Consider the following 16,937-nt stretch of genomic DNA (forward strand, 5'->3'; position numbering starts at 1 on the left):
AAATCTAACTCTTTGTCTACTCCATGCCTGCAACTGTGCAACTGAATACGACTGAAGAAAAGCGTAAAACCGTGATGAATGGCCTCACTTTAAATTCATGACCACTAATCTCAAGTGGGCTCTTAATGTTAACTGGAAAATATATTTCCATATCCATTTCTCTCCCACTCTACCAGTGGAGTATGTCATATTTTTAGTTCTTTCCTTAAATCTTTAATACCTCTTCCCCTATCCTTATTAGTTGATGACTTGGTTCCTTCTTCTCAGCAACATACTTTACTGATAAAATAAAAGCAACCAGAAAAGAACTTCTGCAAACTCCAGCCACATCTACTCGCTTGCCTGCACCTGTACCTATTATACTCTACTTTTCCTTCTGGTACTGATATGGTTCCGATGACTGGAGGAACACCAGTGTTCTTAGTCTCATACCGATTTTGATAAAATGACACAGACACACATGGAGTGGTTTTAAGGAGCAGAGAGTTTAATAAGAAAGAAGGAGGAAGCTCCCCCATACAGAGACAGAGGGAGGGGAACTCCAAAGCTGAAAGAGGAAACTCTGTGTGCTGTGGAAAAGTGGCTGCTTATCTAAGGAGGCTGGAGGAGGAAGTGACTGATTTGTATAGGGCTCAGGATATTGGTTTGACTAGGCATGGTAGCCGGCAAAAAAATCTGGCCCTCCCACTCTAGCTTTTTAATATGTAAATGCAGGCCACCATGATGTTCTACCCACGTGGGGATATATGGGGGCAGCCATGTTGCCAGGCACATGTTGGGCCAAGGGCAAGAAGAATGCAGGAATCACCATGTTTGGGTGGACCCAGTTTCTAATGGCCAGCATGGCCCATCTAAGAGCTGGGGCTTTCCTGCTAGACAACAAACATTTCTGGAGCTGCTTTAAAAGAAACAAAAACTTCCCAAGGAACCCTTTTCCTCTCTATCTGCCAAAAGTAACTTCTTAATAACTCCTATAACAGTACCATAGATGCAATGTCCATGCTTCTAGCTGATGTGAGTGTCTCTACTTGTGCACCAAGTCCCAACTCCTCTGTGCTGTCTGAAGACATCACGGCAGCAATTATCCCCTCTTTTTCCCAAACCATGATTTTCTCTTCTCTATTAAGTCTTTTTCACCAACATAATAACTTGCTTTTTATTCTTCTACCTTCTTTTTACCTCTACTTCATTCTCGAGCCACTATTTATTTCTGCCTTTCCCTTTACAGAAAATTTCCTGGAAAGTGTTTTCTATATTTGCTGGGATTCATTTTCTTTCATAATTCTTCCTTGATTCCACCCCATGTTTTCTCCACACCACTCCATTAATGTTGCTCTTGGCAGCCCCATCAGTCTGCTCTTGGCAGACCTCAGATCCAGTGGTAAGTCCTTGGTGCTCAACTTATTCCATCTACTAGCAGTATTTTACATGTTCTATCTTGAAACACATTCTTCAATTGACTTTCAGGACACCCCCACCCCTGATGTTTTGCCTCACACCTCATTTGCCACTACTTTTTAAACTTCTTTTTGAGTTTTTCCTCATCTCCCTGACCTCTTAATGGTGGAGTACCAAGGACTTCATTTTGGAATTTTTATTTTCCTGTTTATGCTCACTTTCATTCTCTTGGGGCTTTACATACTGCTTAAGTACTGTTGATATGCTGACAACTCTAGAATCTCTCTCTCTCTCTCTCTCTGTCTATGAATTCTAGATTCATAGAAGCAACTACCTATGTCACATCCCCTGTTAAATGTCTAATAGGCTTACCAAGTTTAATGTGTCTAAATATTAAGCTTCTGATCTTCCTGACCCCAACCCCAAGCAAATATCTTCTATCTCATCTTTGCCCCATTTCAAATAATGCCATTCTTCCAGAAACTCTGGCCAGAAACCTTGAATTCTTCCTGGAGTCCTTTCTATTTCTCACATCCTATCCCAAAATGATGCTAAATCTTTTCCACCTCTTTTCCTGAATGTCCTTTACCCAGAAAACCCATGACTCTCTTCTTCACCTCCATTGGATTTTTACTTAAATGCCACTCTGAGGCCTTCCCTGACCTTGTATTTAAAATTTCAACCCCCTATTCTCAACACGTACTATCCACTTCCCTGCATTATTTTTCTCTGTTGCATATATCCCCACTAAAAAAAATGTTATTTATTTATTTTGTTTATTGTCTGTTTGTCTCTCCCATCCTTCCACTGCAATATTATACATTCTTTGAAGACAGGACATTTTTTTTATTTGCTTACTGCTCTATCCCCAGTACCTAAAACAACACAACACATGGTAGGAACTCACTAATAGTTATAGAATGTGTTAGGAATACCTCTTTCAAGTAACCATTTTGAGGCTTGCATCCCCATCACCCATCCTGAATATCACAAGGTTTCTTGTCTACTCCATGAGCGATAGGACCCCTTTGCTTTCCTGCTGAGAGTGAAGCAGTTCTCAGAGGGGAAGCCCAGTAATGTACTCTTGCATGAAAGAAAGCCTGTGGTTTTGATGTGTTAAGGCCTTGGGTATGATGGTTTGCTAGCATTAAGGTGGTGGTGAATAATTCCCTTCCTTCCTGCAATGCAGCATTTTGGGAGATAACAACATCTTATTTTCAGTCTGAATCATTTCTCATGACCTGTTCATTTTTAGCCGCATGCTCATTCTTCTGTATACCATAGTCATAGGTTTTTGTTCATCTCTGCACTGCCCTGCCCCACCCCACCCACCTTTTCTAAAGTCAGCCTCGATCAGCCAGGGTCCCACTAGAAGTACAGAACCCACTCTGAGGAGTTAAAACAAACACAGAGAATTGTTTCCACAGCTATATAGAATGCAGGGAGGATGCTGAGAAAGCATCCAGTACAGAGGGAGGCAAACCAGAAATGAGTGATGGTAGGAAGCTCCTACCCTAAGTCTGAAGGGACCAGAAGGGAGTGTTGTTACTGGAGCACTGGGGTGACAGTCACCTGGTGAAAAATGGAATCAGGGCAGTTCATCACAGGGTTTTCTGGAGACCCAGAGGAGAAACAGTGGCTCCTGGGAATCACACCCTAAATGCAGAAGAGGGAATTTCTCCCTCCTTCCCACCCACATCCAATCTTCCATTAGTACCTTTCTTGGCATAGGATCCTGGAAAACACAGTCTGCAGGGGTCAGCTAGCCTTCTCCCTCCACTGCTTCCCCACCCTTTGTGATACATAGCAGAGCAGGGGGAAATTTGAGAAACAGATCTGAAGGTAAACAGCTCCATGAACAGGCATACAAGTTGGGATTTTGGTCATTTCTAGCAGTCAGAAGTTAATTACCCCAGAAGATCTGAAGATGCCTATAAGAATCTTCAAGATATGAAGTACAACCAAGCTTACACTTAACAGCTTGGGGTAAGGTGGTGAGGTTTTGTTGTGGAGTGCTGACAGAAACTTAGGATAGTGCAGAAGGGGAGGGAGAGGAGGGCCTCCAGCTTTGAGGCTGTTTCAGTTCCCACTAGGGTCATCCCTCTCTCACTAACAGACCCATTCAGTGGGAGGTTGTGTCTGGGACTTGGGCACCAACACTCAGTTTCCCACTCACTTCCAGTGTTCACAGTTGTTGGCAAACTTCCTTCGCATTAGTGGGGCTCCGATTTTCAAGAATCCAGAAATTCTCAAAAGGGCTATTAAGCTATTAACCATAGTTCTAAAGGATCATATTGTGAAAGCTATAATTGCCTACAGTAGGTCCCAAATAGAAAAGTAAATATGAAACCTTCTTTTACAAAAAGTTAAATGATGGGAAAGAACTACTTTTGATTAGTTCTTTGATTAACCTTTATCTCTTGACTCATTATCTGAGTAGAATCACAAACTGAATCGCAAACTGAGTAGAATCACATGACTTTCTGGATGGAACTGTTCATATATTGTCATCTACCTGCAAAAATAGCAGGTATACCTATTACATCTCCCACCTAATAACAGATTATTTTACAGCTACTTTTTATTTAGTTAAATCTCAGCATTGACAGCTGGGTGCAGCCAGGAGATGAACACAAGCTTAGGGGAATCCTAAAGAAGTTGATCATGCCCTACTTGTTCAATGCCGTTTTACCAGCCCAAGGCAGATCCAAGTTGGGGGAGATAAAAAGCTTTAAATAGTATAAGTCAAAGATATTAAAAGTGTGGATGTTTCACTGGATTGGAATTTTAATATCTGAGAGAAGCTGAAGAAGCAATAGGATTACCCAGTGTGGAGGATAATGAGTTAAGAGATCAAGGTTAATAGAAAATTGTTTTCTGCTTTCATACACCAAATCCAGCTCATTCAATAGTTAGGTTTTTCAGAGAACAAATAACCTTGTGGATTGTGATTACCGTTGTGAACAAGGTGAGATCAGAAGAGGTCTCTTTCAGGCAATTGTCCTTGAACCTGAGCCCTGAGTGATGAAAACAAACAAAATTAAACAGAGACTTAGAAAAAACATTCTCAGCTGAACACAGTGGCTCATGCCTGCAATCTCAGTGCTTTGGGAGGCCAAGGTGGGTGGATCACCTGAGGTCAGCAGTTTGAGACCAGCCTGGCCAACATAGTGAAACCTTATCTCTACTAAAAACACCAAAATCAGCTGGGCGTGGTGGCATGCACTTGTAATTCCAGCTACTTGAGAGGCTGAGGCAGGAGAATCACTTAAACCTGGGAGGCAGGAGTTGCAATGAGCTGAGATCGCACCACTGCACTCCGGTCTGGGTGACAGAGTGAGACTCTATCTCAAAAAAAGAAATAGTATTCTCATCTCATTAGTGGAAATAACATGAGTGAAGGTCACAAGGCAGAAGCTTCTAGTGATATAGGAATGGACCAAAGTACCAGAAGCATCAGATGCATAGTATATCAGAGGGAGAGATCATTGGAGAGTGCATTGGAGTCAGGGGCCTAATGCCACAGTGGCTCTGAGATCTTGGCCTTGGTTTTGAAATTAGTTATAAAGGCAATAAGAAGACATTAAAGTATTTGGAGCCACCAGATTTGTGTTTAAAAAATAATAATCCTGGCTTTTCTGAGGTCAATGTATTGCTGATGAGTAAGGTGGACATAGAGGCATGTGTTGGAAGCATTTTACTTGTTGAAATAAGACGTGGTAGTAGCTTGGCCTAGAGATAGTGCCAGAAGACAGACAGGGGCGGGTCCCCCATGAAACCCTACCTTCAAGCCGAGACAGTTTAAAGCCTGGAAGCCAAGCTATGAGTCAAATCCACGTTCTGGATTGAGAGTCTCTTTTCCCATTTGGTGGCTTTCTTCTGATTGATCCTCACCCTTCACCTATTTTACATATACCTACCCTTCCCTAATTGGTTTTCTATACTGTTGTGCCCACCTTTCAGTGGTGCCTTTGTTTTAAGCTTTTTTTGCATACTCACAAACCAATCAGCACATACTCCCCATTCTGAGCTCATAAAAGCTCTGGATCCAGCTACACTGGGAGGGAGACCACCCTTGCAGATGCTGGCAGGTCAGTGCTCCCTCTGAAGGCTCTAATGGAGAGCCTTTTCTTGCTCTTCCAGCTTCTAGTCACTCCATACATTCCTCAGCTTGTGAGGAACTGAATGCTGTTCTGTCACTCAATAGAATTCTTCTCTGCCCTCCTCACACTTTGATTGTCCACATAACCTTATTCTTCTTAGATGCAGGACAAGAACTTGGGAACCACCAAACATGGGTATGAGCTGTAACACAAGTCGGCTGGGGCAGGCCCAGCCTAGCCACAGGCTAAGCACAGAACCTGCGGCGAGTGCAGGATCCAGGCTGGTGTGCAAGCCAGGTGTGACCCAGCAGGCCAAGTGAATGGGGCACCTCCTGTAGCAGGCCCAGGACTGAGCAAGGCCCAGGTGGGGATGTCACTGGCTGTGGAGGTCCCTGGCTGGCAAAGTGACTGAGAAAAATCCTGCATCACTAGGTTATTGGGAGAAGAAACAGAAAGATGGTGGATATCAGGGAGAATTGGTAGGTAGAACTTTGACCACGTAGTGTAGGATTAATTAAGAAGCTATAGTGGATGTTATTGGTGCCCTGTTCTTGCCTTCTCTCTTGGCAGATTTGCCCATTTCCCATCTGCTATGAGTGTTGGATGCTAGTTGCTCACAGCTGCTACCTTCTCTGGAGCTTTTCCCCAGCAAGATAGTAGTTGCAGTGTTGGGGAAGTTAGGTCCTACAATCTGTCACTCCTGAGGAAGCTGGAACTGACATGTGGCAACAAAAGGCCAGTCTCCTTCCTTGCCTCAAGGTGGGACGAGCTGAGTGCACAATTTGCATTCCAGAGCTTCTGTATGGGATCATGTTGAAGCTAGACTCACTTACATTTTTTGCCCAGCCCTCTCCTGTTTTTCTCACTCCCCTTCTGAGAGCACTAATTAAATAAATCACTTGACTATCACTAAATCAATTTCAATATCATAAGTTACTTGAGAATTCTTGTCTGAGCCTCTGCTTTTAGGGAACCCAACCTAAAAGAATTAATTTTCAGCAGGTTACTTTTGACATGACTATGAGGTATCCAAGTAATAACATCAAATAGGTAGATTGATATAGGACTCAACCTTAGAGAGATAGAGTATTTGGGCATTAGTAGCATGTGAATAGTATTAACAGCCAGAGGAATGGATGGAATTTCCAAGGAGGTATGTAACTAGATAGGACGGTTTACGGCTGAGCTGTGAGATCTCTGACGTTTAGAGGTAGAAGTTAAGGATTCAGCAAAAGAGAGAGTATGATGTCTTGGAAACTGAAGAAACACTATATCTAGATTTTGAGGTTGTAATAGGGTTCCATCAAATGAAATTATATAAAGTATTAGACTTACTAGTGGTCACTGACTGTCTTCTTTAATATACAATACGCAGAAAATTCAACAAATGTGATATTCTGTTAAAGAATCTTTTAATCATTGATACCTGCAAATTGATACTTTCAGAGTCTTTATAATTCTAGGTAGGGTTATTTTATGTTAACTGCACAATTAACTCATGTCATCAATGAAGGTTTTTTCATTTGAATTAAGTCCCCAGTCCCTATAAAATGAGAATTTTCCTCATTTGCTGAAGTCTTCCAATTACTTTCTAAGTTGAATTAGTAGTGCACTAAACTTTTATTTCCAGAGAAATGAGTTCAAGTAGAGGTCATCCATGCAAATGAGTTGAGTGATCTCAAACTAGCTTATAAGGGTGTCAGAAAGTTCTATCTATATTGGTTTATTTTTAAAGGCAAAGGAAAGATTAAAATATGGATTTGATGTATTTATTTAAAGTGAGATTTGAAAATGACTGTACTTTTGTCTAAATCCCAGCACCCATCCAGCTACTTATCAGGGAGCAAAGTTCATGACAGGCCTGAGAATCCCAAGATCAAGAGGCAACAAACCAAAGGTGTGAGGCGAGTATCAAAGATCCCCTGAGTTAAAGATACTATGGACAGTGGGGCTATAAATTATCAAAGTTTATACCAAGATATAAGGTTCTTATTACAACAAAACCCAAAGCTCTCAATTCTTGTTTAATCTCTGCAATATTTTGAGTTAGTTATTCTTCAGCTTAATAACGGCGCAAATTTTTTTTTTTTAAAGCTAAGCAACTGAAATAAATCATCTTGTGAAAGTTGGCTCATGGTAGTTTCACAATATACTGGTGTGGTGGACTAAATGGTGCTTCTCAAAAAAATATGTCCATGTCTCAATCTCCAGAACTTGTGAATGTGCCCTTATTTGGAAAAAGAATCTTTGAGGATGTCATTAAGTAAAGAATTTCAAGATGATATCAGCCTGGGTTATCTGGGTGTGCCTTAAATCCAACGACCAGTGTCTCTAAAACAGGCAAAACAAGAGAAGACAAACAGAAGAAAGGCACAGGAAGACAAAGACAGAGATTAGAGCTCTGCAGCCACAAGCTGAGGAATATATGGAGTGACCAGAAGCTTGAAGAGCAAGAAGAGGCTCTCCACTAGAGCCTTCGGAGGGAGCACAGGCTTGCCAATGTCTTAATCTCAGACATCTGGCCTCTAGAGCTCTAAGAGAAAAAAAACTTTTGTTACTGTAAGCCACCAAGTGTGTGGTGATTTGTCACAGCAGCTACAGAAAACTAATACAAGTAACAGCATTTAAACTGTACGATAACTATAACACAAATAATAGTAAAACATGGAACACATACTCTGTGAGAGAGGTTACTGAGCACCTACTCACATTCTACCAGCACTATGTGCTCAGAACTAGAGGCTCTTTTTGTCAGCTCAAACTTATGAAACCCTAGGCAAGATTATCCCCATTTTACAGCTCACAAAATGGGGGCTCAAAAAGGTTAAAATGTTTTCCAGAAGGCCACTACAAGTAAGTGAGTCAGTGGGGATTTGTGTCCAAGTCTGTCTAACCTCAAAACTTCTGCTCTTTCTAGTATACCATTCAGCTTCTTCCACCTGGGTCTCATTTATTTTAGGCCATTTTAAAATTACAGTAAACTGTTCTTGTAGATAGAATAGTCTTATACAAATATTGGCTGCTAGACAGAGACTTAGTGTCATTAAAGGCACCGTACTCATCTTTCTTCTTGAAAACATTTTTTTTCTGACATCCTTATTCTCTTTCTAGAGAAAGGTTGCAAGTTAACTATTGCTGAGTCAGACTCGCATCCTTCTTTGCTTAACATCATCAGAAATATTTTTAGAAAACTGAAAACAATTCAAGAGACCGACGAGTCAATCGTAAGTAGTTATCAGAAAAATAGGCAAAAGTTAAATTTGTTGGGTATGAATTCCTAGTATAAACTGTAACACTAAGTTTGTCAAAGTCTGACCTAAACTCTCAGCACATTTTGGGGATGATTGAAAAAGTTTCCCTGTTTATCATTGTCAGAAGATGGTCATTCCTTGCATTAGAAATTGCACCAAAAAATACCCTCGAAATGATAACTTCAAGGAAAATAAGATAGTGGTGTAACTACCCCTCAAAAGCCCTTCCTAAATTGTTAATGCACTCCTGGTTTTCCTCAAATAAAGTGGGCAAATTGCTGAGACTGTGAACATTTGTTATTGTCATAGCAGAAGGTAAACTATTTTCATAAATATGCAAATATCTCCTACTGGGCTTCTATAATACTTCCAGCAACTCTGCTGCCGTGTATGTCTATTTCAAATCTGATGATATTAAAAAGGAGGAGAAAATGCAGAGCATGCAGCTTGGAATTATTTCTGCCCAGGAAAGCTGGCAATTAGAGCTGGGATAGGCAAGCAGGCCTGGGATAATGGACAGTACCAAGATAACCTGCTTAATTTGATCTTCCTTGGAGCCTGAAGATGTTGCAAAGTAATGAACTTTGTTTCTGTATGAAAAAAACAAACAAACAAAAAACAGCGAAACAATAACAATCTTTTTATGATTTCACTGCTGATGTACTGAGAGGTTTGCAGTCTGTAAAAGAGCAGTACTATGAAGATCCAAGACAAGAGCCCCTTATCATTACCGGATTGTATTTGCCTATTTATTTTTTTGCAGTATTGGGGCCTTTCTCTTTACCATTCTGTGAGCTTGTGGAAGTCAGAAATCCCTGAAGGGTATTCCCTCAGGATGTCCACATGCCTAGCCACACTGTGGAAGCAGTAAGGAGAAGGTTCTCCTGAAGTGACTTAAGTGTAGGTTAAATGAATGAATGAATGAGAGAGGGAGATAGATATAATGGCAAGAATAATTTTGTCATTATATGACAAATTACTGGGGTTAAGACTGGGGTTCAGTCCTGGCTCCACCACTCATCAGCTATGCAACCTTGGACAAGCAACAAACTCTGTGCCTCAATTTCCTCACCTATGATAATGTCTGTAACTCACTAGGCACTGTACCTGGTTTATGTCAGGTATTGGATTTATGGCAGCTGTTATTAACTTCTCAAGATGGTGAGCTCCCTGGCTGCCCCAAAATAGATAATAATAAGTATAAAATGTATTATCTATTATTATACAAATTATTCTTAGTGTTGAATTATTCCTAATATTAACGTGATAAATGTAACAAAATCATGCATAAGAATCAATGGTAACACACACAAAATAAAGAATGTCAAGGAAGACAGGAATAGTTTTACAAGGAAAGGGATAGTTGACCTTATAAAATAATAAGTAGAAATTGTTGGAAATAGCCTGAGTTAAGGTTGTGGGGCATTCGGGAATTATAACTATGACTAACCATTGTAAAGATGCAGAAGCATTCCTAGTGTTCCTAGGATGGCTATAAAACCAGCTTGCCCCCAAATCTTTCCCCTGCAGATGATCCCTTTTCTTGTTGAACACAGTTTTGTCTCCTGAAATCCATCCTAGGAAGTTAGAACGCCAAAGCGCTGAGGCCTCAGAGTACACAGGTATAATAGATACAATTCTCTTTGGAAAAGACCGAATTTCCCCAGGGAAGGATAGCTGAGCATGCAGCAAGGAGAGTTCCAGGTTCCATAACACGTGCAGTTTTTCATACATTTGCCATGAAGTAGCCCTACTGAATTCCCCATGTTTGAGGGGAATATATTAACAACTAGCTTCCTACACCATTTCTAGACATCAAAGCTTCAGATCTTGAGCTCCCTTAAAGAGTTGCTGCCTCTTCCGTGTGTACATCCACATTTGGATTTGGAGGAGGGCTGGGACAGGCCCTGAGATTTCCCAAGGCAGATCTCCATTGGTGTGCATTCCCCAACCCCACTTCCCCCTTCTAATTCTGCAAATATTCAAAAGGCCCCTTTTTATGTAGAGATTAGTGAACATCTCACCCTAAAATCGAGCTTCAGGAATTACAGAAAATTTGAGCAGAAATGGTGGAGGGAAAATGTCTTCTTGTGATGAGGATTCAAAACTTGGAAAAACATTGATCTAGAGCAGGGGTTCTCAAACTTCAGCAGGCATTAGAGTCAACTGAAGAACTTTTTAGAATACAGATTGCTAGTCCTACTCCCAGAGATTCTGATTCAGTAGGTCTTGGATGGGGGTTTTAGAGTTTGCATTTCTAGCAAGTTGCAAATTATGCTGATGCTGCTGGTCTGGTGATCGGACTTTGAGAAGCAATGGCCCAGCAGGTTATGGTAAAGGAAACAAATCTGGCTGGAGAGGAGGGGGTTCTAGATTCTTAGCTTAAAGATGTCACTAATTAGTGGTAAACATTTTAAGAAATTCTACTCTCCCTCTCTGGGCTTCAGACTCTACAACTGTAATATTGGTGAGGTTGGGAGCCATACTTTTCCAGACGCCTGTGACAGAAAACTGATTCCTATTAGCTTAAAAACAAAATGGAGCTGATTGGGTAATGAACTAGAAAGTCCATGTGCAGATATTTGACTTCATGTGTGCCTGGGTTCAGCTCTCAAACAATGTCACTGGGCTTCTGTACCTTTCCGTCTCTCAGCTGGGCTTCATTCTCAGGAAAGTTCTCACCTTGCCTGACAGTGGTGCCAAGAGGACCACTAAGAGAATGTATCCTATCCGCTTAGCAGCTACAGGGAGGATCTCTCTCTCAGTAGCTCGAGACAAAAGTACTGGGGCTGGAGATCATTTCTTGGAGTGGGACTTGTGAACCAATTTGGGACGTGTTGCCCAGTCCAGGGGCATGTGCCAACTCATGAAACTAAAGGGTAGGGTAAATACAGCTTAGGCCACATGGACCAAAAGTAGGGGAGAGCTGACTCCACAGTAACACCAAGATGTTGCTATCAGAAGAAAGAGGAATGGAGGGGCCACGGCAGAACATTGTAACTTGGGGATGGGTAAATCAGATCAATTATGTTTCAACTTGTTTTTTTTTTAACCTGTGGACCAGCAGCCAAGAAGATTACTTTAAAAGGGTTCATGCTTTGAAAGTCAGCGTAAGTTTTTCTTTTTTCTCCTCTTTTGTGATACAAAATTATGTTGACTATTTTTACATGCTTTTAAAATACCACCCCCTCCCTGGGGATATGACTCCCTGGATGGGATCAGGGCAGATGTCGTTGCCAGTGAGGGAGCAGGGATTTTGGAGCCTGTCAGACCTGAGTTTAAATCCAAGCAACACCATTGACTGTGTAACCCTGAGCAAATAGCCTTGTCCTTTCTGTTTCTGTGGAATGAGATATCAATACCTATCTTCCCGGGTGATGGTGGGAATCAAATTAGGTGATGTCTATAAAGCACCTGTCCCAGTACAAAGACTCAACAGATGGAAACTACTTTTATTATTATTGCTAAACTCAGTGAGGTCCATTTGTCAAAATAGTCTTGATTCTAGCTAGAAGCTGAGGATTATTTCAGTCTATGGACACCCAGACCCAGAGAGCCAATTTGAATAAAGTCACCAATTTGGCAGACTTGGGTTTATTTTCTTCTCTTCCCAACTCACAGTGAGCACAGATATCTTTTTAATAAGGAATCTGGAGCATTTCTGGGAGTTTACAAAATAAGGTAGAAAGTAGCCTGGGTGCGATGAACATAAAAAATAGAGGGAACACAAAGGGAACCTGGAATCAGTGGGAAACTTCATTTTCTTTAATTAGCATATTTAAGTGAAGCTTAGAAGCTGCTCCTTCCCTGAAACATTGCATTTTATTAAAAGCTGTTTAGAGCTCATAACCATTCTGCTGATTTTCTCAAAACACGTTCTCCTTACAGGCCGGTGCTAAACTGTGCATATGAAATGAGCTCAGCTTAATGTTGTGTTAAAAGAATTTGGTCTCCAGAGCTGTCTCTCTTCTTAATAATATGTAATCATACTCCATCTATTTAGTTTTCATTTAACTTGCCCCATGCAGGCAATGAATCCAGTTTAATTAAATGTGCCTTTAAATAGTCGAACGGCACTCATTTGCACCTAGCAAGCCTCCCTTTCATCCTATTAAGACCCCCTCAAGATATAAAAACCCAATAAAGAGGCCATGTAAAATGTGTGTCTGATAATGCGAGGGAAGTCTGACATTTGCTCCATAATTTAGTGAAACCTGCAGTAGCTTTTGGGCACATTGTCTCAGCTGAATGGAGCCGGTGTGGGGCCTTGGGTTCTGGAAGGCTGTATCTGGATGAATCGTCATAAATAGCACATTTGGAGATGAGCTGGTGATCTTCTGGGTTGGAGCCAGCAGCAAAGGAAGTGAGGCCACTGAGACACCAAACAGTTACCCAGGGAAGCTCTCAGAGGGTCTTTAAAGAGGGCCTGGCCTGTGCCTCTGGTCATACTCTCTGGGGACAATGGGTGGATGGGGCTGCAGCTTTCCCTATTACAAGATGTGCTAAGAAGGAAGGGAAACCTATCCTGAACACTGACAGCAGAAAATTAGGCAGTATTTTGCAGTCAAGAAGGGGTAACAGTAGAATCCATAATTTTTACAGTGACCATCCTAATCTCTGAGTCCCTCAGTTAAGGACTGGATTCAGTTCAATCTAGTGCTTCATGATTCATGCAGGTAACACATTATTTCTCCAGCAACTGCCAAGTGCTAGCCCCTGTTACAGACCAGAGACACAACAAGCAGATGACAAGCAGATAATTAGATGGTGTCAGGTGGTGAGAAGGAAGAGAATACATCAGGTTAAAGGGTATGGAGGTTAATGGAGTGGGCAGTTGTAGGAGTGGGGTGCACATATTGTCAGCGGAGACCTCATTTGTTAGGTACTATTTGGTAAGCTCAGATTTGACACACTCTTGTTGGTTATGTGCTCAGGGCTAAGTTCTAGGGGCTTTTACACTGTATGTCAGAGACTGTCTACAATGCATCACTCCATTGGCTAACTTAGTTGACTGTGTTGATCGGTTGGGGCCCCCTTTCTTTATTTGTGTCCTTCTGCAACAGCATGCAAAACAGGATTTTTTCCAGTTGTTCGCCCAGGGATTTTTAAATGCCATGTTTTATTGTTCCTTATGAGTTCAATGTATGTAAGCCCTGCCCGCCTAGTGAGAAAATAAGCTCTTTAATGTTGAGAACTCAGCCTTTTAGTTGTCTATTTCCCACCCAGCAGGAGTGCCTTTTTAATACAGGTTAACACAAACTTCAAACTGTAATATGATTTAAAAATTTATATTTTGGTACTTTATGCTTTGAAAAATTGGCCTGTGTATCATCCCAATAAACCTGTGTGGTGAATAATATCTATAACATCCAACTGTGTGGTATTGGTCAAATTCATTCATTCATTTATTCATCCATTTAACAAATATGATTTCAGTTGCATGATTAATTTCCTTGGAATTCAACTTTCTCATTTAAAATTTAGGGACATTAATGCTTGTTTTGCATAATGTGAAAATGATACAGTAAATAGGTTAAATAACTACCACAATGTACATAATAGGTGCTCAATAAATAAGAGCTATTTATGAGTTCAAGCATGTGTAGGATGATGAGTGGGAGCAGGAGATATGAGACGTCATGCAAAAGAAATAGCTAGAGGCCAGATCGTGATGGACTTAAAAACCTAATTGCAATGCGGGTCACTTGAAGTATTTTAAGCAAGGAAGTGGCATGATCATATGATTATACTGGTGACTGCATAGAGAACAGATTAAAAGAAGACAAAAGCAGAAGCAGAAACACCATTTAGATGGGTGTTGCAGTGGTTCAGGTAGGGAATGATGGTGGTTTGGCTGTGATAAAGGAGATGAAGAGAAGTCAGCGGACACAGAAGGTATGGTTCAACAGTGGAATGGACAGGACTTGCTAGTGAATTGAATCTGAGAAGTAAGGGAAAGGGAAGAGACTCCCAGCTTTCCAAGTTAAGCAATCAAATGTTTTCTGAGGGAAGTAACACTCAAGGACAAATAGGTTTGCCACTTAGTTTCCACACATCACACCTAGATTCCTAATGACAGCATCCGCCTAAAGCTCAGAAGATAATGCTGAGTGAGAAAATAGATTTCCTGACTTTAATATCCCATGGTATTTAAAGCCATGGGAGGCGATGAGATCACCTGGAGAGAAACTGAAGTGTGAGAAGAGAGGAGGACTCTGGTGAGATCTCTGAAGAACTGCACAGCTTCAGGTTTGCATAAAGGAGGAGAAAGTGAGGATTGGCCAGCGGCACAGAAGAAAAATCACAGATGTTAGGAAGAGAGAGTGATTCAAAAGGAGGGTCATTTTTTATTCTGTCAAAACCATCTGAGAGGTAAAGTTAGTTGAGGGTTTAGCAGAACAGAGGTCATTGAAGACCCTGATAAGAGAAAATTCAGAAGACAAGAGGAAAAACCAGTTTGGAATAAATTTGAGAATAAAGGGGAAATAATAAAGTGGAGCTATTTTTCAGGAAAGAATTATTGAGACCTACTACATTCCAGGCACTGCTACAGATGCTGGGACTGAGCAGTCAATTGACAGTGTCTCAAGTTACTTCTGTTGTAGAGGGAAGAAAGACAATAGACATACAAATAAATATGTGATATGTCAGCTGGAAAGAATAATGCAGCATTAAGCCAGACTTAAAGGGACTTAAAGGAGTGCTGAGTGGATATGGTTGTTGTCTTACCTAGGGAGGTCAGAGAAGTTGGCTAGGGAAGTCCTCTCTCATGATGAGGTGTCGGAGCACAGACCTATAGAAAATGAGAGAGAGCATGCCCCATGAAAGTATCTGTGAAGACAATAGCAAAGACTTGGAACCAACTCAAATGTTCATCAATGATAGACTGGATTAAGAAAATGTGGCACATGTACACCATGGAATACTATGCAGCCATAAAAAAGGATGCGCTCATGTCCTTTGCAGAGACATGGATGAAGCTGGAAACTATCATTCTGAGCAAACTATCGCAAGGACAGAAAACCAAACACCACATTTTCTCACTCCTAGGTGGAAACTGAACAATGAGAACACTTGGACACAAGGCGGGGAACATCACACACTGGGGCCTGTCGGCGGGTGGGGGATGGGAGAGGGATAGCATTGGGAGAAATACCTAATGTAAATGACGAGTTGATGGGTGCAGCAAACCAACATGGCACATGTATACATATGTAACAAACCTGCACGTTGTGCATGTTTACCCTAGAACTTAAAGTATATATATATATAAAAATCTGGGAAGAGTACATTCCAGGCAGAAGAGGCAGTACATACAAGAGACCTGAAGTGGCTTCATGAATAGCATTGATAAGAAACAACAATGAACACCCAGTGTGGCTTGAGTAGAATGCATGAAGTAAAAAGGGGTAGTAGGTGAGGTCAGCGTGGTGAAAGGGGGTGGTAGAGTAGACCATGTCTGGCTTTAGAAATCTTTTTTCAAAGACAGTCTTTCCCTCTAAGTTGCAAGGTAATTAGTAGGTTTTCATCAGAAGCTGCTGCAAGGTGGACCAGGTAGAAGCAGAGAGAGCCATTGGGGACTATCGTTGTCATCCAGGTAAGAGATAATAGCAGCTTGCACCAGATGGTAGTAGTCAAATGGTGAGAAAAAATCAAAATCTGAAAATATTTTAAAGCTAAAGGTAGTGTAATTTACTAATAAACTGGATGTTAAGTATGAGTGATGGAAAAAGTCAAGGATGACTACATAAATGATTTAGGAAGTTGACCGTGAAGAAGGGTTCAAAATAGTAGACAATGGCTGGAAGGGACAGGGAACAAGGTGAGCAGTTTAAGAATGTGTTTGCCTGCAAATGAGAAGAATCCTGTATTAGTCAGCTAAGCCTGCTGTAACATAATACCACAGGCAGGGTGGTTTAAGAACAGAAATGTGGCCGGGTGTGGTGGCTCATGCCTGTAATCCCAGCAGTTTGGGAGGCCAAGGTGAGTGGATCACAAGGTTAGGAGTTCAAGACCAGTCTGGCCAAGATGATGAAACCGCATCTCTACTAAAAATACAAAAATTAGCCAGGCATGGTGGCAGGCGCCTGTAATCCCAGCTATTTGAGAGGCTGAGGCAGGAGAATCACTTGAACACAGGGGGCAGAGGTTGCAGTGAGCTGAGATCGCATCACTGCACTCCAGC

At 41.4% G+C, this 16,937-nt stretch overlaps 1 long non-coding RNA gene across 1 annotated transcript in view; it reads right to left on the reverse strand.

Annotated features, from left to right (window-relative positions):
• LOC107985948 (uncharacterized) overlaps positions 1-15,657 on the reverse strand; it is a 37,893-nt gene extending 22,236 nt beyond the window's left edge. The window contains exons 1-2 of the long non-coding RNA XR_001739719.2: positions 15,482-15,657; positions 4,354-4,415 (exon numbers count right to left, since the gene is read on the reverse strand). This is a non-coding gene — a long non-coding RNA (uncharacterized LOC107985948). The remainder of the gene's footprint in view (positions 1-4,353; positions 4,416-15,481) is intronic.
• Positions 15,658-16,937: the final 1,280 nt, after the last annotated feature.

Source organism: Homo sapiens, chromosome 2, assembly GCF_000001405.40.
Source record: "Homo sapiens chromosome 2, GRCh38.p14 Primary Assembly".
Classification (NCBI taxonomy): domain Eukaryota; kingdom Metazoa; phylum Chordata; class Mammalia; order Primates; family Hominidae; genus Homo; species Homo sapiens.